Here is a 20,624-nt window from a genome sequence, read left to right as displayed (position 1 = left end):
TATGACTGTTTATATGTTCCCTATCTTAGCCAGACTTGATTCAGGAATTGGAATCCAGTGGGTCTTCAGGCATGGCTGATAGATCAAGGCAAAAGGGATTCAGATATTAGAAGCTGGGGATGGAGAATGATTCTCTAGACCATTCATAAGTCAATGGAAATTCATTATGTCACACCAGCCATTGCAGTTTAAAAATGGCACTCACTCAAATGCGATTTGACCTGTCTGAGCTTTTTCACTTTTGCCATTTAACACTCTGAATCTACTTACTTACTCTCAGAATTACTGAAACACTGAACTAATACAACCAATCAGGAGCATTCAACTCTAGTAAACAAAACTCTTCACTCCTGAAATATTCTCATTCTCAGATGTCCTCGATGCCATACTTTTCCCAGATTTCCTCCTAATTCTCTGGCCGCTGCTTCTCAGGCTCTTTGCATATCCCTCAGATGATGGAAGTCTTTAAGGGCTCTGCCATAAAACCTCCTTCCCTTCAGGCAATCTGATCTGTCCCCAGTCTCTAAAGACATTTCTTTCTTAAACCACTGCAAACCACACTGCCTTCTGCATGCACAAATATGTTCTTTGTGTACTAAGTCTCCATCAATACTCTCCTCAAGAGCCTGGGATAATCAGAGCAATCAATACACTATGGGCACCAACGCTATCGTAAACCTAAACATACATGGGTGGGTGTGGGGGGTGGAGGGGTCAAGTCATTTGACCATCCAGATGTCCAGACTATGGTATGGGTATGGGGGAATGTGTGGATATGGTTCTGTGCATATGCCTATTTTTCTTTTTTCTTTTTTTGAGATGGAGCCTCGCTGTCTTGCCCAGGCTGGAGTGCAGTGGTGCAATCTCAGCTCAATGCAACCTCTGCCTCCTGGGTTCAAGTGATTCTCCTGCCTCAGCCTCCCAAGTAGCTGGGTTTACAGGCGCACATCGCCATGACCAGCTAAGTTTTGTATTTTAGTAGAGATGGGGTTTCACCATGTTGGCCAGGCTGGTCTCAAACTCCTGACCTCAAGTTATCTGCCTGCCTTGGCCTCCCAAAGGAATGGGATTACAGTTGTGAGCCACTGTGCCTGGCTGCATGTACCTATTTTTCTACCCATCTTTCAGATTGTCATTAAAATGAAAAAAAAAAAAATCTATGAAGACTAGGAGAGGACTTGACTACAGCCCCTTGAGAATACGTGATTGCTCAACCTTTAACTGCTTAAATGAGTTTGTCTTATGTGCAGGCACATGCAGTAGGTGCTATGAGGGCTACAGGGTGAAAACAGGGTGAGGAGGAGAGGACCTGACCCAGATGCACGACTGTCAGCAGAAGAAGTTTAAGAGCCCCATGCAGTCCAGTCCCAGCATGTTGTGTATTAAAAAATCTAAAAGAACTTTATCCATATATTTTAATACACACAATTTTTTTTACATTTTAACATTCCTGAAACTAGGATGTATTTAACAAATGTGTGTTAGAGTTTAATTGACTGTGTCGTTTTCTTTCTTAATTGTACAAAAAATAAAGATGAGAGAGTTACAATTGATGCCCTCTTAGATGAAAAATATTATTCGGATCTTTCAAAGAACATAAAGTGAGATCAGATATGCAATACATAGCAACATGTCGTTAAATCTCTCCTTTTTTTGGAGATTTAACCCAGAAGCCTCACATTCTCTCTCTACTCTCCACCAAAACACCTCAAAACATCCCTGACTGCTTCCCCAGAAAGAGTGTGAGAGTGTGTTCTCTTTCTTCCTCCCCCGCTTTTTCCTCTTCTCTCTGGAAGTCCATCTCAACCATCCTTGGTGGGCCTCTCCCCAGCCCCGCTCCTCTGGCTCTTCCCCAACCCTGCTGATTGAGCTGCTCTACTTAATAAGAAAAAGAGAGAGGAGTAAATGCTTGGCAGTTAAAATTTTCTTTAGCAAGGATGAGGAAAGAGATAGAGGCTTTGCATAGTCCCACAGGAATACTTGTTGAACCAGGAGCCAAAAGAAACAGGCAGATAGAGCGGCTGCAGCCCAGGGCCAGGATGGATGGGAGTGTTACCTGTGATGGGGCATCCCGGGAAGGCTCAGATTTGAAACTGCCAAACGTGACAGCTCTCAGGGAGCTTCATATGCACGCATACACACTTGCACACATGCACATGTGGACAGACACAGGCACTTGCACACACGTGTTTAAATAATAGGTTGATGTCTTTCTCTGCTACGTCACACCAGGAGGGAAGGAGGCTGGGCCAGGATGATGGTCTCATTTCCAGAGAGGAAAAGGCCTGGGGGTGAGGAGGGGAGGTAGGGGGAAAAGGAAGTGACCCAATCAAGTCACCCTGCAATTCAGTGGAAGAAGCAGGATGGGCAGCATAGGGTTCATATGGCTTTCCTGGGCTGGCTGGGCTGTCTCAGGTGGGAAATCTGGGCTGCAGAGAGCTTGGGGGATTTGTCTCATCCCAAAGCAGAAGGGTTGCATTAGCCTAGCTGGCTCGAGACCAAGGCATCAGAGGGGCCGAAGTCACACACCTATCCCCACACCTGAAGTAAAAACTAGCCACAAAAGGCTGGACAACATGCTGATGAGTGGCCTCCCCCAGATGAAGAAGCCTCATAACTGGGGAAATGTGGAGCTGGAAGGAGGAAGGGGCAGCAGGAAGGCAGCCTACGGGGAGAAGATCATGCTTCCCCAGGACCTTAGGAAAAACAAGGGAAAAGCTGGGAGGATGAGTCTACAGAGAGAGGGAGGAAGGGAGCCCCACTTTGGCCACCCAGCTGCACCCTAGTGTTTGGGTCCTTGGCCCCTATAGTGTCCAGCAGCCAGCTGTGGAGTCTCAGTGTTCTCATGGTTGGAGAAGACCCCTGGGAGAGCTCAGGAGGCTCTTGCTGATGTGGGTGGGCTGCACCCTGACTGGCCAGTTCCCACCTCTCTGAGCTGAACGCTGTTGCTGTGACAGGATCATGCAAGAAGCCAGTCCTGGGTATGCTGAGTGTGCCATGCCCTTTGCTGGGTGCTCAGCAATGGGAATATAAATAAGGGGAGAGGCTGTGCTCAGGAGGAGCTCAGGAAGAAATCGTGTGTCAACACAGGTGCAGCTGAAGTCCAAACTGCTTTGCAAATCCCACCCCAGAGCAGAGCTGCCAAGGCTGCCTGCACCCTAGGGATTGCCAAAGGCCTGCTCTGAGCTCAGAGCCTGTGGAAAAAGTCAGTAAGGTTTTATTAGGAGGTGGATTTGTAGACCTGGGATAGGTGGGGAGGAACCCCTGAGACTAAGAGGCCTAGTTCCCTGGGGGCTTTCAGAGCTGGTCCCATGCCAAGCTTCAAAGCCTCCTTCTCAGCCCCTACTCTCTGGTAATTCCTGGCTGCAGGGTATGTGTGTGTCTGGGAACAGGTCAAGTTTAATTATTAATCATCTGGCTGGCCTAATCAATCTAGACCAAGGTCTCTCTCTTCCAGGGCTGTGAAATTCCCACTCAGTGACCCAAGTCTCCCAGTGCTTTTTAGACATGAAGAGAGGAAGGTGCCAGGAGCCTCCCTGCAGCCCTTGGGTCTTTGGAGGCATTGAATAGGTGTGGGCATCAGGCAGGCAGTCAGGCAGGCGTGGTTTGCAAAGTGCAGGGTGAACCAAGGCCATCTACCCAGTGTTGACAGAACTGTCATAAACCCTGCTTTGTTCTCAGCTCTGCCTGGGAAGGTCCTAGAGAACTGGGTGGGCCTGGCTAGGTGGAGGTGCAGAGTGAGGACAGACAGGTTTGGGGAGGAGATGCCCCTGGGGACACAGAGATGCAGCCTACACAGGAGCCCTGGCTCTGTGGCTATAGAAGAAGCCAGCTGTTAAAAGGCCAAGCTTTGGGCAACATAAGCAGGGCTGTGTTATCCACTTTCAGAGCCAACTGCCAGCCCTGGGGTAGGGGGACCAGGGAAGGGAAGGATGGGTAGGGGGAGGGAAGGTGGTGGGCGGGTAGGGTGCTCCCTGGCACTGCTCCAAGGACCCACCCTGCTCCTAGAGCCAGCCAGCTGTGCCAGTCCTCATGGTACTTGGGCAGAGGTACCATGGGTTGGTACCTGGGCAGTGTGTGACTGGGCAGAGACTTAGGACTCAGGTCTCTGTTGCTCCAGCAAGTCCCAGAAGTGAGCAACAGATAACTTAGTCCTTCAACTAACATTCACTGGTATCTGCTCTGTAGTGGGGATACCAGTGTGCACAGGGGAAGCAGGATACACTTCTTGACCTTGGAGACTCAATGACTACTGCAGAGGCAAATCTATAAACAGATAACAAGGAAACATGATAAGGGCTATAAAAGAGGGGCCTCTTGGGAGGCCAAGGCTGGCAGATCACGAGATCAGGAGATCGAGACCATCCTGGCTAAAATGGTGAAACCCCGTCTCTACTAAAAATACAAAAAATTAGCCAGGCGTGGTGGCGGGCACCTGTGGTCCCAGCTACTCGGGAGGCTGAGGCAGGAGAATGGCGTGAACCCGGGAGGCGGAGCTTGCAGTGAGCCAAGATGGCACCACTGCACTCCAGCCTGGGTGACAGAGTGAGACTCCGCCTCAAAAAAAAAAGAAAAAAAAAAAAGAGGGGCCTTTGTGTGTGTGTCTGGGCTAGGGGTACAAAGTGTTCTGGGACACAGTGGGGGACCAGCAATACCTGCAGGGAGGTCAGAGAAGTCAAGGAAGGCTTCGTAAAGAAGACAACACCTAAGTAGAATGTTAAAAAAAAAAAGTCGTAGTTTCCAGGTAGACAGAAAGGGCCAAAAGGTATTCCTAGCAGTGGGAAAACCATTTACAAAATCAAGGAGCTGGAAGGGGCCTATTTGGGAACCCCCGAGGCACTGAGCATAGCTGAACCACAAATGGAGGCTGTGGGGGTGAGAAGGTGGGTGGAGAGGAGGCAAGATTAAGTAGGGTCGGTGGAGGGCCAAGCTAAGCCATACGAGGAGCCCAGGAGACAAAAACCACAGAGACCAGGCTGGCCGACCCCAAGCAAGCCTGCCTCATGGGTAGGCTCCCCTGCTGGGGGCAGGAGGATGGTAATAAGGACCATAGCTCCCCACAGGCCCATGTGGGAGATTCAGGTAGAGAAGTGACCACCCCCCACCTTGTGATTGACAGCAAGTCTCCACTCTTATTTTCTTCCCAAAAACCTCTGGCACGCACAAGGCACACATCAAATGCACAGATGGGAAAACCGAAGCAACAGAAGGTAAACATTTGCCTACATCTCAGAATGAGTTCATTGTGGATTTGACCCAGGAACTCAAGGTCCTGATTCCCAGCATGGAGATCTGTCCCTGAGCCAGAAAGCTCTGTTCTTCCTAGGCTTGCATACAGTGATGGTGAGAGATCTCACGGGCAAACGGGGCACACCTTTTGCACCCCTCCTCCCTAGGCCGCTCCTTATCAGACAGGTTTGAGGGGAAGTTCCCAAACTGCCAGAGAGAATCAGCACTTCCCAGTCAGGCTTTGTTCCCTCCTGGCTGTGGTCATCCGTTTGGGGTAACCCCAAAGAATAAATGCTGGAGAGGTTTATTTCCCCCAACAATCCAAAGAGCAGGGGCCCCACCCTAGAGCTCTCTATTGTCAGGTGGGTGTGGCAGGGCACTCAGGTAGTAGAGATGATGGTGGCCTCCTCCTTGGCCTGTGAACACTGGTTCCTGGAAGTTCAGCCACTTAACAGAGAAATTTGAAAAACAGAGCTTGAAAATAAACCCAAACAAAAATTCATGAACTCCAGCCAGCATACTCACTCTCAGGTGGCTGGGCAGGTGTGAGCAAGGATCAGGCCTTCGGACACTGGGAGGTGTTGCCCCAACATCAGGAACCAGTTCACACAGACCAGAAGCCATCCCAGTGTCCCCGCTCCCACTATGCTCTTCTCCAATGTTGGGCTGTGAGCTCCCTAAGGATTTTTCCAACACCTCTCAGTACCTCTGTACTGTCCCTCAGGAGAATTATTCCAGAATATAGAGTCAAGTAGAACAATCTCCCCAGATAACCTGGAATGCTCTCTCCAGCCTAAGGACAGAGCATGTTTTTTTTTTTTTTCTTTCTGCCTTGGCTCCCAGGAGGCTTCTAGTCACATCTCTTGCTGTATGAGCCCTTACAGACCATATATTTGCTGCCTCCAACTTTCTTCAATCCTTGTTTATAATTTTTTGTTGTCTTAATCTGGACACATGGCATCATGTATGTGCAACATCTCTACTCCATGTTGGAAACAGGTGGCAGGCAAGTCAACAATCTAGTTTCACTCAGGAAGGAGAGGTCACAAGTGCAATCCGGCTAGCATTTTGGGGCTGTGGGAAATCCCCTTTTGATCACTCCCCTTTGTCCCCAAGTCCCCTGAGAGCAGAAAGCAAGCTGCTTCTCTTTCTTCTCCTCCCTGAAACAGGAGGAACTTGAGCAGCCCCCGGGGCCCTCCTTCCTCTCTTGCCCTCAGACTCAGCTCCCCTGGAATATTCTCCCAAGTGAGAAGAAGGAAGAAACAGTATTTCTCTGGGTATAGTGCTGTGGGTGGAGGCCTTTCTTTACTTTCCAGGGAGGAGAGGTACTGGAGAAATCAGTTTCTGGAATTTAACAATCAGGAATTCAGCCATAGGTAACTGCAGTATTGCTAAATTAGACTTTCTAATTTATCCAAGCAGCTCTGGGCAGACCCAGAGTCTAGAGGCTTTAGGGAGAGGCAGGAACAGGAGGTAGGCAGTGGAGAATAGTGGCTAAGAGTGTGGTTTGACAGTCATGTGGACCTGGGTTTGAATCCCAACTCTGCCACTTACTGGTCGTCTGACCCTTGACAAACCACTTTGTCTCTCGGAGCCTCATTTTCCATCTATGAAATGGGGAGAATAACAGTACCTGCTTCTCCAGTTGTGAAGAGGCCAAGAGACAGTGCCCCTATGGAGTACACTAAGTGTGCCATGCAGGGGGACTCAGGAATCAGCAGGGCCGAGCTGACAGCAGTAGTGTCTTGTGGAAGAGGGAGAGAAAGTGTGTGTGACCCCAGAGTTCCTCGCTGACAGCAACGCGGCCCTGGGCAGTGGCCCTGTTCCTTGTTTCTCCTCTGAGTAAGGATTGCTGACTCCACACAGCTCTCTGTCTTCAGCAGCAGGGCTTCCATCAGATCTCGAGGAGCTGTTTAATAACCACAACACTTCCAGCCATTAACAAAGATAAAGACAGCATTGGAAAATTGACTTTTGCCTGAGCACAGTAAGTACGAACCCAACTAAAAATCATAACACATGCTCCCAAACCCAGTTCGATGACTGTGACACGCTCCCACCCCCATCCTTCGCCGCCTCCCCCACCCACCAGCTGCCACCAGCCCCTTCTGCCATGGCCATGCTGGTCTCCTTTTCTCTGCCTCCTACTGTCAAGCCTTTTTCACACTAAAGTGCCCCTACCTTCAATGGCCCTACCACCCAGTAAAATAAATGCTGCTTCTATTCCAGGAGCTACTGGGGAAGTCCCTGGTTGACATCTAGGGCAGTGTTTCTCTAAGTGTCATCGGTGGACTGCACCTGCATTGAATTACCCCCCAGGCTTGCTAAGATGCAAATGCCTGGGTCCTCCCCGTGACCTAATGAGTCAGAATCTCCATGGGGGCGCCAGGAATATGCATTTTTAGCAAGCTCACCAGGTGCGGCTGATGCACCCAAAGCATGAGAATCCATGATTTCTCTTGAGTCCCTTGCTGAGTGCCAAAGTCCAGCTAGGACCAGACCTGGAAAATTCACACGATAATGTAATCGAAATATCATAAACTCTCCAAGTAGCCCCAGCAAGACTCAAGGGATCTGGATTCTAGTCTTGGCCCTATACCAATAAGCTGTGTTGCCTCAAACAAGTCACCTCTCTTCTCTGGGCCTGTTTTCTGGCTTGTAAAAGGAAGAGCAGAGGCTTGGGGGTCTCTGGGGCCATCCTGCTCCAACATGCTTGGAATTTCACTCAGGATAGGCACCTTTATATGACTGCCATTGTGGGAAAAGAGAATGGGGAGTTGACAGGGTTGAGCCCAGATGTCCAACCACTGCCTAAGAGGGCAGTTAACAGTTGCTGTTGCCAGGTTTGATGGTTCATGCCTGTAATCCCAACATTTTGGGAGGCTGAGGTGGGTGGATTGCTTGAGCCCAGGAGTTTGAAACTAGCCTGGGCAACATAGTGAAACCCTATCTCTACAAAAAAAAGTTAGCCAGAGGTGGTGGCACATGCCTGTAGTCCCAGCTATTTGGGAGGCTGAAGCAGGAGGATGGCTTGGATCCAGGAAATAGAGGCTATAGCAAGCTGAGATCGCGTGCCACTGCCCTCCAGCCTGGGTGATAGAGTGAGAGCCTGTCTCAAACAAACAAACAAAGAAAAGAAAGCAAGGTTAGTATCCAAGTGCCCTGACCTAGTAGGGCATTATGAGGAGGAATCCCAGTGTCTAGGCTGTGGCAGAGTCAGGCAGGGGCAGTCTGGAGTTGATCCCTGGGGATAGGTGTGGTACAGGGAGTAGGTCTGAGTGTCAGAGGTCCAGCCTGGTGGACTGGCTCAGAACCAGGCTCTAGGGCCCACAGAGATATCAGAGAGCAAATGGGAACACCCAGGCTTGGGGGAACAACTGCAACTCGAGGGAAGGGGGTGTCCCTGGCTGGGTGTCTGCATTGCACAACTCCAGGGGGTGCCATCCTATAGGATACAATGTGGATGCCCTCTCTAGAGTTGTGCCACATAGAACAACATGCTAGGACTAGGCACCAGGGGCACCCCCAAGCATCCTGGATCCTGTACTTAGGGCAGCAGAACCAGTCTAGGCCCATTCACTGCTTTGGCCATCTGGGGCATAGATAGCAGTTGCAGAAAAGGAGGTTTCCCTACTCCTCCTGGTTGGAAACTGGAGGCCTGAGCTTGGTCCACCATGGCCACAGGAGGTGGGGGTGGGGCGCAGACAGCAACAGGCTCAGCAGGAACTTTCCTCAGACCTGCAATCTGTTCCCAGGAATTGCAGGCGGCCCCCTCACTTTGCCCTCTGGGTCCAGGCTGCCCAGCCCCTCCCTGTTGACTCAGGAGCACTGCCAACAAAAGGGAAGGGCCCAGAGAAGGTTCCGGGCCATTCAAAGGACTGGCCAACTGGGCCTAGAAGACTGGCATTGTTTTGCTAGAAGAAATGGTTGAGAAACAACTTAAGAACCCCTGAAATTTGGAGGGCTGCTGTCCAGATTGCAAAAACAAACAAGATTCGGTGACTTGCAGCACACCAAGTGCTTCCACCAGCAATTATCTTAACCCTGAAGCAACCCTGGGAGGCGATTCATTTTTTTTTTTTTTTTTTTTTTGAGACTGAGTCTTGCTCTGTCACCCAGACTGGAGTGCGGTGGTGCAATCTCGGCTCACTGCAACCTCCGCCTCCTGGGTTCAAGCGATTCTCCTGCCTCAGCCTCCTGAGTAGCTGGGACTACAGGTGCGCACCACCACGCCCAGCTAATTTTTGTATTTTTAATAGAGACAGGGTTTCACCGTGTTGGCCAGGATGGTCTCGATCTCCTGACCTTGTGATCCACCCACCTTGGCCTCCCAAAGTGCTGGGATTACAGGCATGAGCCACCACACCCGGAGCAAGTAATACTCTTATCTTCTTTTACACCCAAGGAAGCGGGCCTTAGGAAGTCATGGGCTAACAGGGGCAGGGCCAGACCTCTGCCTGTGCCTGCTATTTCCACTACAGCACTGACCACCAGATATTCATCTTCACAGGGAATGGAACTTACAGAAATGGCCTAACCCTGGTGCAGGACGCTGGGTGGCAAAGCTAGGAGTTTATAAGAGGCCAAGAAATGTTCGTATCTGAGCCTCCAAAAGGACAGCAGCCCCCACTTAGTCAGACTCATCCCCCGAGGATCACCCCTGAGAATCTCTGATTCTCTCTGGTAGCCTAACTGGAGCCCTAAGAAAACCTGTTTTGTCCTCTCTGTTCAACCCTTGAAAATAATTCACAATTCAAAGGGACCAAATCTCAACCTTTCTGCTTGATGAGCCTTCCCCAGCCAAATGTCAGGGACCCCTGCATGACACAGAGTCACTCACTCACAGCTTTCAAATTCTCTTTATTAAAAATCTTTTCTTTTCTCTTTTGTAAAAACAAACACTTTGCAGTCAGTTATACAGATCAGGAAAAGTAGTGACAATTTATAGGACACTCAACAAATTTCAATACTTTACAAGTTCAAACTTAACTTAGTGTTTTGGTTTTTCTCATAAATTCAAAAAACAAACTCTGGTCCAGTTCAAGTATAATCTAATTATCTAACAGGTCACAGCCTCGGACTGTCCAAGAATGGGAAACCCTGATACTAACGGCTGCTGCTCACACCATCAGATTTTCCAAATTCTTTGGGGATACTGTCTAGATAGATGCTATTTTGGGTGTTAACAATGAAAAGACAATTATACAGGCCTTTTGTTGTATTAACCCAGGGTAAATATGAATCTGTTGCTTAAGGGAGCAATTGCTCTTCAGCATCCTTTTTTGGGAGACACTTTGAAATGGTTGACAAAACACTGAAGAAAAGCTTTAAAAAATAAATCAATATTTACCTGGTTGCCATTAATACTGCATTGTGTGTGGCACACATAGAAATAAAAAGTGCAAATCATAGGGTCGGTGAAGGACCATGCCAATGGAATTGTATAAAAATAAATAAAAATAAATACGTATGTACACACAAGTATAGACTCTTAGATGATTTTAAACCGAAGGTTCTGATTGAAGGCAGATAGCGCCTTATCTCTCTCCCTCCCAGGGGCTCTCCCTAGCTCTCCAATATGAAGGCCAGTCTATCACAAGAGAGCCATAACACTACACGACCATCTGGATTTCCATGGAAATGCTGCTGGGGATGGGGGGTGGGGGAAGGCCAGGGTGGAGTGGAATGAGCTGGTAAAATCTTCTCCCACTTTGCTAGGGGATAAAGTGTCCAGTCTCTCTGATAATGTACAGTTCTAACCTCTGATAAAAATTGTGGGCTATTTCCAGCAAAGTTCAGCAAGAAGGCCAAAGAACTGCCCCCACAATTCCCTTCAGTAGGAAGAAAGACACACAAGATCAAAGGTTTTCTGAGAAATGGAGGAGGCATAGCTGGTGTCCAGAATGCCAGGTTCAAACCTGTGGAGTTGGCCAGGGGAACAATCTGGGCTGAGCCGTGATCTTCAGACTTTATTTGAGATACCAACTTTTCAGCAGCCCCCATATGGTCTTCTCAAAAGATAAAATTACAACAAATTTACTTTGAAGATCTTAGTTGGCCTTTATTTTTGATTCTAGAATTGGGCAACATGTCATTCTATAAAATAGAATGAGTGTTCCCATGAGCTGAGCGGAGGAGGTTGGCTTTATAGACAGAAAAGGGCTGAGGAAAGCAGACACAAAGAACAAAAACCAGACTGGTCATCTCAAAGCTGCTTTCCTTATAAAGGTTAAAACCAAGGACACTTCATCATGCTGGTTAAAACTGGCCTGTTTGGGGATTTGGCTATTCTTTCTCTCTCTCTCTCTCCTGATTTCCTGGAAGACAGAACTTCAACATGAGTGACTCCCTTTTGTTTTGGTCTGTTGGGCCTATTGCAGGAGCTCAGTCCAAACCAACAGCCTCCTATAAATTTTATTTAATAGCCTGATGATGAGTTCAGGTTTCTTGCTTCTTCCAACCTCTCCGCATCACATCTGTTCAAGTTGGTCTGCTTTCCCCTGGTGCTTGCCTTAACTGCTCTCTCTCACCAGCTCCCATGAGCCTGTCCCTTGCCAATGACTGCGTGCTTTCAGGTTTACACTGATCATTTTATGTTCTTCATTTGTTCCCTTTGTGTGCCTCAGTTACCTGATATAAAATGTTAGCCTTGAACTAATCTCTCTGCCCTTCCTCCATTAGTACAGAGGACAGAATGTACAGTATGCTCTCACATGCCATAAAAAGGAAAATGAAAAAAAACAAAACAAAACCCTACACAGTCCCTTCTCAGTCTGCCTGCCCAAGGTCAGGAACAGAAACAACAGGAACTGCCTAGGGGAGAGTGACCTGTCTTCCTTGTTTTATTTTTCCTGGGCTAAGCTATGAAGGGTGCTTTCAGGAGAGTATCTCTGCTCATGAAAACAGCTCCAGGCTCCCTTCTTAACTGCCCGAGGGCCTCTCTATGGCTGTGGCAGAGCCTCATTTCCCCCAGCACCTTTATCCCACACCCTTTCAATGGAATATCAGGCTAGAGACCCCACAGCCTGAAGGTACCCACCCTCCAGTACCAGAAAGAGCAGCGGGAATCACGACTTTTCATAACATTTTGGTATCAAAGTCTGCACATACAGTCAAACCCAGGGAGCCCTCAACTATCTGCCCAGCTGGAAAGGGTCCACCTACAGACACCCAGCAAACTTCAATGCCACTCTTTGGATCTGCAGCCTTCTCTTTCCTTAGCTTCTCCCCCAACTGGGGGGCCATTTAAAAACCATCCTACTGTGAGGTGGTTGTACCCCAGAGTGCAGGCACCAAGGCTGAATCAAGGACAGATGATGTTTCCTTGACTTAAATAAGCTCATTTAACCCCCAAGACAACTCTGTTTTCCACAGCCTGGAGCTGTGCCTCTCGAGCCAAAGCTGTGCTTTGCAGAGAGGCCAGCATTCAACCTAAGCCCGCGCCAACTGCTGCTTTAGCTGGAGGAAGATGCTTCTGTTTTTATATTTAATTACAGTGACTCTGTACCAAATTCATTGTCCAGAATAGAAAAACCCTGACATCTCCTGAAATCAAGAGGAGGGGAATAAGTTTGGAGGAAACTTATCAGAGCTTCCAAAATGAAGGGCTCTTTTCATCTTCTCTAAAATTCATTTAATTTTACTTTAAGGCATAAGTCTGGCAGATTTCTAGAATAACTGAGAGGATGAAACAGTTATTAAAAACAGGGGCTTTTCAAAAGGGTGGCCCAGTTGGAGGAAGAGGTTAATGAAGACCCTCCCAGCTCTGCCAACAGATTGTCCGTGATGTCCCCTCACCAGGACTGCAGACCTGACTCAGCTCCTCATGCAGGGGATACATGGGACACCAGGCAGAGATACTGCTGTAGACTCACTGCAGGGGTTCGCCTGACCCAGGAGTTTCCATTAAACCTTTTCCTTGCCTGACTCAGCTAGGCCTGACCTGTTATATCCTACCAAGAATTTAAACACTGTGAAAATCCCTGAGAAGTTGGGTTTTGTGAAAAGGAAACGATCCTTGGCACATAAGGAGGGAGGGAGAGAAAGAACAAGAGGAAAAGAGAGAAAAACGAATTGAAAGATTGAGAGAAACAAGAGTCAGCAGGGAGAGAGTTGGTGACCCTCAGTGGGCTGGACACACCTGGGTGACTTGCTCCTGGAGACATATCAGGGGCATTTCACTGAGTCTCTGGGAACAAGCCCAAGCAATGTGCCCTGCTTGGTTTTCCTTCCTCTCAGGCTTTAGTCCTGTCCCCAGAATCAGGAAGGCCCCACTTCAGCAAGCTCTCCTTTCCAACCTTGCAGCAGCAGCAGTAGCAGCAGAAGCAGAAGCATCAGAGCTTTTTCCTTTCGAAGCGTGGCACGATTCCGCTGTCCTCTGGCCTCGGGCTATCTGCCCCCTCGGTCTCCTTGAGGCCCTCCTCGGCCAGCTGGGACAAATATTTCTGTGGAAAGAAGAGGGGAAGTGGAGGAAGGGGCATGTTAGTAGGGACCTAGATGGAGAGGAGAGGAGCGGACATGCCTCAATCATCCCTCTCCTGGCATCTGTGCCCAGCTGTGGGGGTTACCCTTTTCCTGGTTCAGAGATCCCCACTGGGGCTACAGAACTTATGCTAAGTACCTCATTATGTTAGCTTGCAAGTAATACATGTCTCCTGTAGAAAATGTAGAAAGTACAGGCCGAGCGTGGTGTCTCACACCTGTAATCCCAGCACTTGGGAGGCCGAGGTGGGTGGATCACCTGAGGTCGGGAGTTGAGACCAGCCTGACCAACATGGAGAAACCCCGTCTCTAATTAAAATACAAAAAATTAGCTGGGTGTGGTGGCACATGCCTGTAATCCCAGCTACTCGGGAGGCTGAGGCAGGAGAATCACTTGAACCCGGGAGGCGGAGGTTGCTGTGAACCGAGATCGCACCGTTGCAATCCAGCCTGGGCAACAAGAGTGAAACTCCATCTAAAAAAAAAAAAAAGAAAAAAAAAAGAAAAAAAGAAAAGAAAAGAAAGAGTAGAAAGTACAGCTATAATAGCAAACACTTCCAAAGCCCTTATCTAGTGTCAAGTGCTGTTCTAACTGCTTGACTTAAATAAGCTCATTTAACTCCCAAAACAACTCTGTTTTCCAGAAACAGCCCAAGCTCTAGGCAACATATCTATGCTTAAAAGGCAGAGGGAGGGAAGCTGGAAGGCAGGGTAAATGAGCGCTGGCCTATGGCAATTGTGCAAAACAGCACCACGGCCTGACATTTGAGACTCTTAACAACCTGTTTCCTGTCAGGGCAGGCTAGTGGGTGGGGAGCCTTGGAGGTCTTTTGATGGATTTAAAAATGGGCCTGTCTATTCTATCGTTGAGGGCTGCCTCTGCATGACCCCAGAACACTCACTGCTATGACTGGCCTCGGCCCAACACCATGAGGCAGGTTGGGTTGCTCTTGGGCTATCTGGAGTCAACACAGTGAGGCAGACTGGGACAGGTTTGAGGCCCCAGCTGGGGTTCTCTGACAGGGCAGCAAGGAAAAGGCAAAGAGCACTGGATTAGGAGACAGAAGGGTGCAGACCAGTACGGTGGTTAAGTGTGTGCACTTTGAAGTCATATGACCTGGGTTCAATCCTATCCCTCAGCAGGCGAGTTATCAAATATCTCTGACATCTGTGAAGGGAGGGGAATAACAGTAACAACAACATAAGGTTGCTGTGAAGTCGAAGAGAGGCAACAAAAAGCATTCAGTACAGCGTTTGACACAGAATAAACACTCAGTAATGTTGGCTTTTCTTATTAGCAGCACCAGCCATATGAGTTGGAGAAAGCCACTCCTCTTCTCCCAGCCTCAGAGGCCTAATCTGTTAAATGGGAGGAACACTGTTGTCCTCACCCTCCCTTCTGGGGTGGTGTGTGGGTCAGATGAGAGGGTGTGTGTGAGATGACCAGGTCTGCCTGCTGTCTCCATAGAAGAGACTGCAGTTGGCTTCCAGAAACGGGTGCAGCCTGACTAGGAGAAGAGCAAACGGTGGATGGCAGCAGGCAAAGCTGCTGATGGAGGGCCTGGGTTCTCCTCTGCCTTGGCTCAGGGAGGGTAAACCGTGTGCTGAGGAAGGCAAGCGAATGAGCGCCCAGTACGTGGACACATTCCGCTCCAGGGCCTGGAGCCAAGCAGGTATCTAGTTTTCCTATCGAGCGCTGACTCCACCTGTTGTTCTGAATCACTCTGGGTGGGTTCTTGCAGAGCCGTGACCAGCCGTGGGGCACAGCACAGGCTGCTCAGAGAGAGCGGAGGCTCCTTCAACCTGCTCCCTGCCTTTAGGAGCAACCTCTGGTCCCCAACTCAAGGCCTCTCAGTGGTGTTAAGTTTAAAAGTTGCCTGATTTAAGTGTCAGCCATTACCTGCTGCTTGGGGTGGGGGAGGCTGTGTGGACAGAGGCATTCTGTCAAAGCCGCTGACAGAAATCCTATCTGGGAAGCCTGTGGTGGAAACTCCCAGCTCCCCAGCAGGTGCACCAGGTAAAGCTACACTGCAGTTGGCTGGCACGAGGGGCTTAACCAATGTCTACCCCAATGCACTTGAGAACTACAAGAATGGCTCTGGCCTGCTGCGGGGAGGGGAGTCTGCCTGGGGGCGTGGCCCAGAGGCTCAGAACACAGTGCAGTCCACTGCCCTGGGAAACATACATGAATTAGAATTAGAGGCCCTGGCAAGTCTGAACTCTTCCTAACTTCCGAGGTGACCTTGAACTATGTGGCCCCCTGAAGGGCTGCACAATACTACTGCAAATGCTGGATGAGAGAAAAGGTTCTCACATCGACTATCAGAGCCTGATATAAGGATGGTTTACAATACAGACTCTCAGGCCCAGCCCTACAGAAAATGAGAAAACAAGAGTAGGGTGAGAGCCAGGAAGCTGCATTTCTTTTTTTTTTTTTTTTCTGAGACAGAGTTTCGCTCCGTCACCCAGGCTGGAGAGCAATGATGTGATCTCGGCTCACTGCAAGCTCCACCTCCCAGGTTCAAGCGATTCTCCTACCTCAGCCTCCTGAGTAGCTTGGATTATAGGTGCGCGCCACCACGCCTGGCTAGTTTTTGTATTTTTAGTAGAGACGGGATTTCACACTGTTGGTCAGGCTGGTCTCGAATTCCTGACCTCGTGATCCACCCGCCTCGGTCTCCCAAAGTGCTGGGATTACAGGTGTGAGCCACTGTGCCGGGCCCAGGAAGCTGCATTTCAAAAAGATGCCAGCTGGTACAAAGAAGAAGGTTTGGGAAAACCAGGACCAGATGATTTCCAAGACCCCTTCCATCCTTACCATTCTGTAGGTTTCATCTTGTTGGGAAAAGGGATTGATTATGTCTTCAAGCTAGATGACTTCCCTCAGCTGGCTTTGTGGGACCCAGTCTGACCCTCCTGCTCTGGCCAAGTCAGGCCTTTCTTGCCTTGCCCGAGGAGAGGCCTAGCCCTGGGCCACAGGTGCTGTGGCTGCCTCAGTCACAGAGAAGCTGCTCTCCGGAGGGAAATCAGAGGCTTAAGTGACTTGAGTTTGGGCATAGCCTATGATACTTCTCTGCACATGGTGACCCAGGCCATGACATTATGGGTCTCAGTTTCCAAGACAAGTATAGTAGAGTAAAAAGAGGAAAGTGATTCAGAATCAGGCGATTTGATCCTAGGCCCAATAACTCACCATCTGTGTGGACTTGGATGAATTATATAGCTTCTCTGGGTCTCAATTTTCTTAATTATTAAACAAGAAAATTGGCCCATATCTGAGTTTGTTTTTTTTTTAACTAGGGGTGCACATTTGAATCTTTTGGAGAACTTTCTCAAATTACATATTCCTGCAATCTGCCTTCCACCTCCAAATTCTACTAAATATATAACTTAGTACCTGAATTTTAGAAATACTGTCCAGATGAGTCTGATTCATGTCCCTGGTTAAGAACGGCTAGATCAGTCACTTTTAAACAATTTAATGATAATAGTAATGCCTAGCCTGGGACTTGGGCACAGCCACTGTGAGGACTTCTTGAGTCAAAGCCTTATGGTTCAAATAACTAGTCTGATTCCTTGTAGTAAAAACAGGAGGTGTCTTCAGATACTTACCCCTGGCCCTCTGATATACCATGTCTTCTGTTAAGCTATCAAAACCTAGCCCATGCCAGAAGTTAATCATGAAAACCACATTCTAATATATTACATATTAATTAGGTATATATTATAGAACATATTACCATATTTCATTGATCTCAAGACACATTTTTTCACACATTAATATCTCTGAAATAAAAATTCATTTTACAGTTGATGGAGTCTCATCACTTGATTTGCAACATTTTTTTTCTAGTTGGTACCAAAAAATAGTGGTGCCTTACAAATGATGGCACCTTAGACTGGGTGAAATACGGTGTATAGAGTATTTTTTATATGTCGCCCTTTAACATACTATACCATTTATTTCATTTATTGCTTGTCACCTACATTAGAATGAAAAATCCATGAGAACAGGGATTTTTGTCCACTTTACTGTTGTTGTTCCAGTATCCCTGGTCCCTAGAATAGTGTCTGGTACCTAGCATGCCTGTGATAAGTATTTGCTGTATGGATGAACAGTTAAAAAGAACAAAGCAGTGTTTTTTTTTTTTTTTTTTTTTTTTTATTCTAGCAAGCAGGGATACCTGCATAGGGGAACAGAAACAGAGAAAAACTAGAACATCCGAGTCTTGTGGGAAGGGGTCAGTCCCAATCACAGGCCAGAGGAACACTGGCCTAACTTGAGTTACTCACAGTATAGAGGGAGAGGTGGATATTGCCAAAGCCAACCCAAACAGGATGTTTTAGGTATTAAAGTAGAGACATGTGCTAGGAGCAACACAGGAGGTAGCCACCATGTCGAGAGCAGCCTGATGGAATCAAGTCTATGGGAAGATTAGGGGTTTTCCATGTAGTGGAAGGAGACAGACACAGAAGCAGAAAACAGCCTGGTGTGCTTGGGGAATGGCAAGTAACCTGTGGCCTGGAGTAGGCCTTGCAGGTAGGAGCTAGACTCAGAGGCAAGCAAGGCCAAGGACGCCAGACACCTGGCTCGGTTATGGAGACTGGGGAGCCCCTGGCATGCTGGGCAAGGAGAGTGGATTTTTACCTGTAAGTTCCTGTAGTGGACAGCGCTGCGGCAGTGGCTCATCTTTGCTGTCTCCTCGCTCGTGTAGAACAGCCCACACAGCTTGCAATAAAAGCCAGTCCTGGGAACCACGAACTCCACCCCTGGGAAAGGATGGGGGATAGACACGCAGGGTTAGGATGGCATGGGAGGCAGGCCCCTGTGTCCTGGCAGCCATCAGGTAGAAATGGGAGCCACGAGCTCCACCCCTCACTTGCTGTTGACCTTGGCTGGTTACTGAGCTTCTCCAAGCCTCAGTTTCCTCACTTGCAGAACAGTCACAAAGAGACTCACACCCACTTCATTCACAGGTTGTTGTGAATGTAAGGGATGGACTCGGCGGTGTGGTAAGCACTTAGCCATTCCATGGCCTGCCGCTGGCCTGTTCTCCTACTATCAGCCTCCTTCCAAGAACAATGAAGGTGATTTCTGACATTTCTGATATTTCACTTGTTGGATTTCATTTCTTCACACTGTACCTCTCTCTGCAGCTGCTGTGACCGGGACTCTCGAAGAATTCTCTCGTTTTTGTTTGTTTATTTTAGAATTATGTTCTTTACAGAAAAAAAAGTAAATAAAAGGAAGGAAAAAATCACCCAGAGTCACTCCAATCCAAATATTTTCTTCCACATAATTAACCTATATGTAGGCCTCTTTTGGGGGGGCCATTTTAGTCATACCCTAATTACAATTCTCTGTCCTCTTTTTTTCGTGAAATTGTATATCATTAACATTTTCCCACTTCCTCTAGTCTTTACATCCGAACCATCAATTAGCATTTCATTTGTGATTTATTAAATATAAGTCCCAGAATTCTGGGAGGCCTTTTGATTCCAAGCAAAGGAAACAACTGGCACCACCGCCAGAGAGGAGTGACAATGTCACAGCCAGGGGAGTCATCCTTGAAGGGATGGTGGCTGCTCCAGCCTCCACGAAGGTGTTTTGCAGGTCACAGTTCTCCTTTTGAAGACACGGTCAGTCAGTGGAGTGGAAAGAGCCCAGCTCTGAGAGGGTCCAGGCCAGATGCTAAGAACCCATGTGACCCGGGGAGAGTCAGCCGAACTGCTCCTGGGGCTCAGTTTCCTCACCTGAGAATGGAGGTAGGAACACATGCCCTGTTTACCAGGCACCTGACTGTGCAGCGCCAGCCAAAGGGCAGGGTGTGAGGGCTGTGAGAAGCAGGACCCATCAGGGAACTAAGAAAGAGGGGTGATGCTTGGAACACCCAATCCCACTTGCAGGCTGCGGGGCAAGCCTCTCTTCTGCTGGGGCTGGGCAATGGTTTCAGGTCTGGCCATCCTGGGTAGAAGGAAGGAAGGGGCCTGGGAATGGCACAGGCAGGGGAACAGCAATTTCTTGCAGGGATGGGGACAGGCAAGGTCTCCACTCATGACAGCGCCTGCTCCAAGGCACAGCGTGACCGACTGCAAGCCCAGCTGGTTGGGTGGCTTCACTTTCCTCCTCCCACCTCCCAGGACACTGAGCTAAGTGCCTAGGAGACCCTGTCAGAAGGAAGCAGCCTAGACTTGTCATTAGAACTTTTTTTTCATTTCAAAATAGCCACTTATCAGTGTGAAGGGCAGCTCTGAGGGAGGGAGATGGGAGGGAAGGAGGGAGCCCAGGAGGCCTGCCTGGACTGACAGTGGGGCTGTGGTCCGGGGCCTGAGGCGTCCTCCTCAGTCTGGCTTTCTCTAACTGCCACATTGCAGGCTACACGCCATGCCCTCAGCAGTGGTCCCCAGAAGTGAGAGGGCCTCACTCAGGCCCAGGTGCCCGGAGGGAGGTTGAGTGTCCTTCCCTTCCTCTCTGCAAAGGATGGAAAAGTGGCCCCAGCTTGGGCTGTGGGGGCCAGTTCTCCCCTCCACCTCACAAACAGGTCCTGGCTCCTGGCTGTTGGTGCTGGCAGAGGCGCATTCAGCAAGGTCTGCCTCCTTCCTGCGTTGTTACAAAATAGTTTTCCCTCTGCTGCTGCTCTGCAGGGAGCCGAGACCCCCGCAGTATAGGAGAGGGGCAGCTGGGAAAAAAGGAGAGCTTTGATCAGAGCCACACTCTCAGTCCCGTCCCAGCCTCTGGAGGATGAACCAGCTGGGTGGTACCAGGAAAGAAGCCCTGGGGTTTTTATTAAGCCCCCTGTTGAGTCCTCTGAGTCCCTGTCCTGGGATCCCCAGAAGGGGTACAGATGCCCTAGGAGCTACCACAGACCCTGAAGCAGGGATTGAGCTGGTAGCCAAAGCCCCCAGCAGTGTAG

The 20,624-nt window shown here is 48.9% G+C and overlaps 1 protein-coding gene across 4 annotated transcripts in view, besides 9 other annotated features; it reads right to left on the bottom strand.

Annotated features, from left to right (window-relative positions):
- Nucleotides 3,155–3,654: an enhancer, noted in NCBI's record as "H3K27ac hESC enhancer chr10:112605645-112606144 (GRCh37/hg19 assembly coordinates)". NCBI's record gives its function as "activates a minimal SCP1, AML or CMV promoter by ChIP-STARR-seq in primed H9 embryonic stem cells {active_cell/tissue: H9 hESC(primed)}" and the evidence as "EXISTENCE:reporter gene assay evidence [ECO:0000049][PMID:30033119]".
- Nucleotides 5,644–5,803: an enhancer, noted in NCBI's record as "active region_4050". NCBI's record gives its function as "activates an Ori minimal core promoter by ATAC-STARR-seq in GM12878 lymphoblastoid cells {active_cell/tissue: GM12878}" and the evidence as "EXISTENCE:reporter gene assay evidence [ECO:0000049][PMID:35858748]".
- Nucleotides 6,164–6,213: an enhancer, noted in NCBI's record as "active region_4049". NCBI's record gives its function as "activates an Ori minimal core promoter by ATAC-STARR-seq in GM12878 lymphoblastoid cells {active_cell/tissue: GM12878}" and the evidence as "EXISTENCE:reporter gene assay evidence [ECO:0000049][PMID:35858748]".
- Nucleotides 6,364–6,423: an enhancer, noted in NCBI's record as "active region_4048". NCBI's record gives its function as "activates an Ori minimal core promoter by ATAC-STARR-seq in GM12878 lymphoblastoid cells {active_cell/tissue: GM12878}" and the evidence as "EXISTENCE:reporter gene assay evidence [ECO:0000049][PMID:35858748]".
- Nucleotides 6,434–6,503: an enhancer, noted in NCBI's record as "active region_4047". NCBI's record gives its function as "activates an Ori minimal core promoter by ATAC-STARR-seq in GM12878 lymphoblastoid cells {active_cell/tissue: GM12878}" and the evidence as "EXISTENCE:reporter gene assay evidence [ECO:0000049][PMID:35858748]".
- Nucleotides 6,574–6,633: an enhancer, noted in NCBI's record as "active region_4046". NCBI's record gives its function as "activates an Ori minimal core promoter by ATAC-STARR-seq in GM12878 lymphoblastoid cells {active_cell/tissue: GM12878}" and the evidence as "EXISTENCE:reporter gene assay evidence [ECO:0000049][PMID:35858748]".
- Nucleotides 6,764–6,843: an enhancer, noted in NCBI's record as "active region_4045". NCBI's record gives its function as "activates an Ori minimal core promoter by ATAC-STARR-seq in GM12878 lymphoblastoid cells {active_cell/tissue: GM12878}" and the evidence as "EXISTENCE:reporter gene assay evidence [ECO:0000049][PMID:35858748]".
- Nucleotides 6,914–6,983: an enhancer, noted in NCBI's record as "active region_4044". NCBI's record gives its function as "activates an Ori minimal core promoter by ATAC-STARR-seq in GM12878 lymphoblastoid cells {active_cell/tissue: GM12878}" and the evidence as "EXISTENCE:reporter gene assay evidence [ECO:0000049][PMID:35858748]".
- Nucleotides 10,073–20,624, bottom strand: part of RBM20 (RNA binding motif protein 20) — a 196,224-nt gene continuing 185,672 nt past the window's right edge. For all 4 annotated transcript variants that reach the window (XM_017016103.3, NM_001134363.3, XM_017016104.3 and 1 more), the window contains exons 13-14: nt 18,359–18,480; nt 10,073–13,673 (exon numbers count right to left, since the gene is read on the bottom strand). In XM_017016103.3, the coding sequence (XP_016871592.1) occupies nt 13,563–13,673; nt 18,359–18,480 (233 nt within the window). In that variant the 3' untranslated portion in view covers nt 10,073–13,562. The remainder of the gene's footprint in view (nt 13,674–18,358; nt 18,481–20,624) is intronic.
- Nucleotides 19,339–19,519: a silencer, noted in NCBI's record as "fragment chr10:112589780-112589960 (GRCh37/hg19 assembly coordinates)". NCBI's record gives its function as "represses an EF-1alpha promoter that drives an FKBP-Casp9 reporter gene in an ReSE screen in HepG2 liver carcinoma cells {active_cell/tissue: HepG2}" and the evidence as "EXISTENCE:reporter gene assay evidence [ECO:0000049][PMID:32094911]".

This window comes from Homo sapiens, chromosome 10 (assembly GCF_000001405.40).
Source record: "Homo sapiens chromosome 10, GRCh38.p14 Primary Assembly".
In the NCBI taxonomy this organism is placed as follows: Eukaryota; Metazoa; Chordata; class Mammalia; order Primates; family Hominidae; genus Homo; species Homo sapiens.
This window is presented reverse-complemented; position numbering and strand designations above follow the sequence as displayed.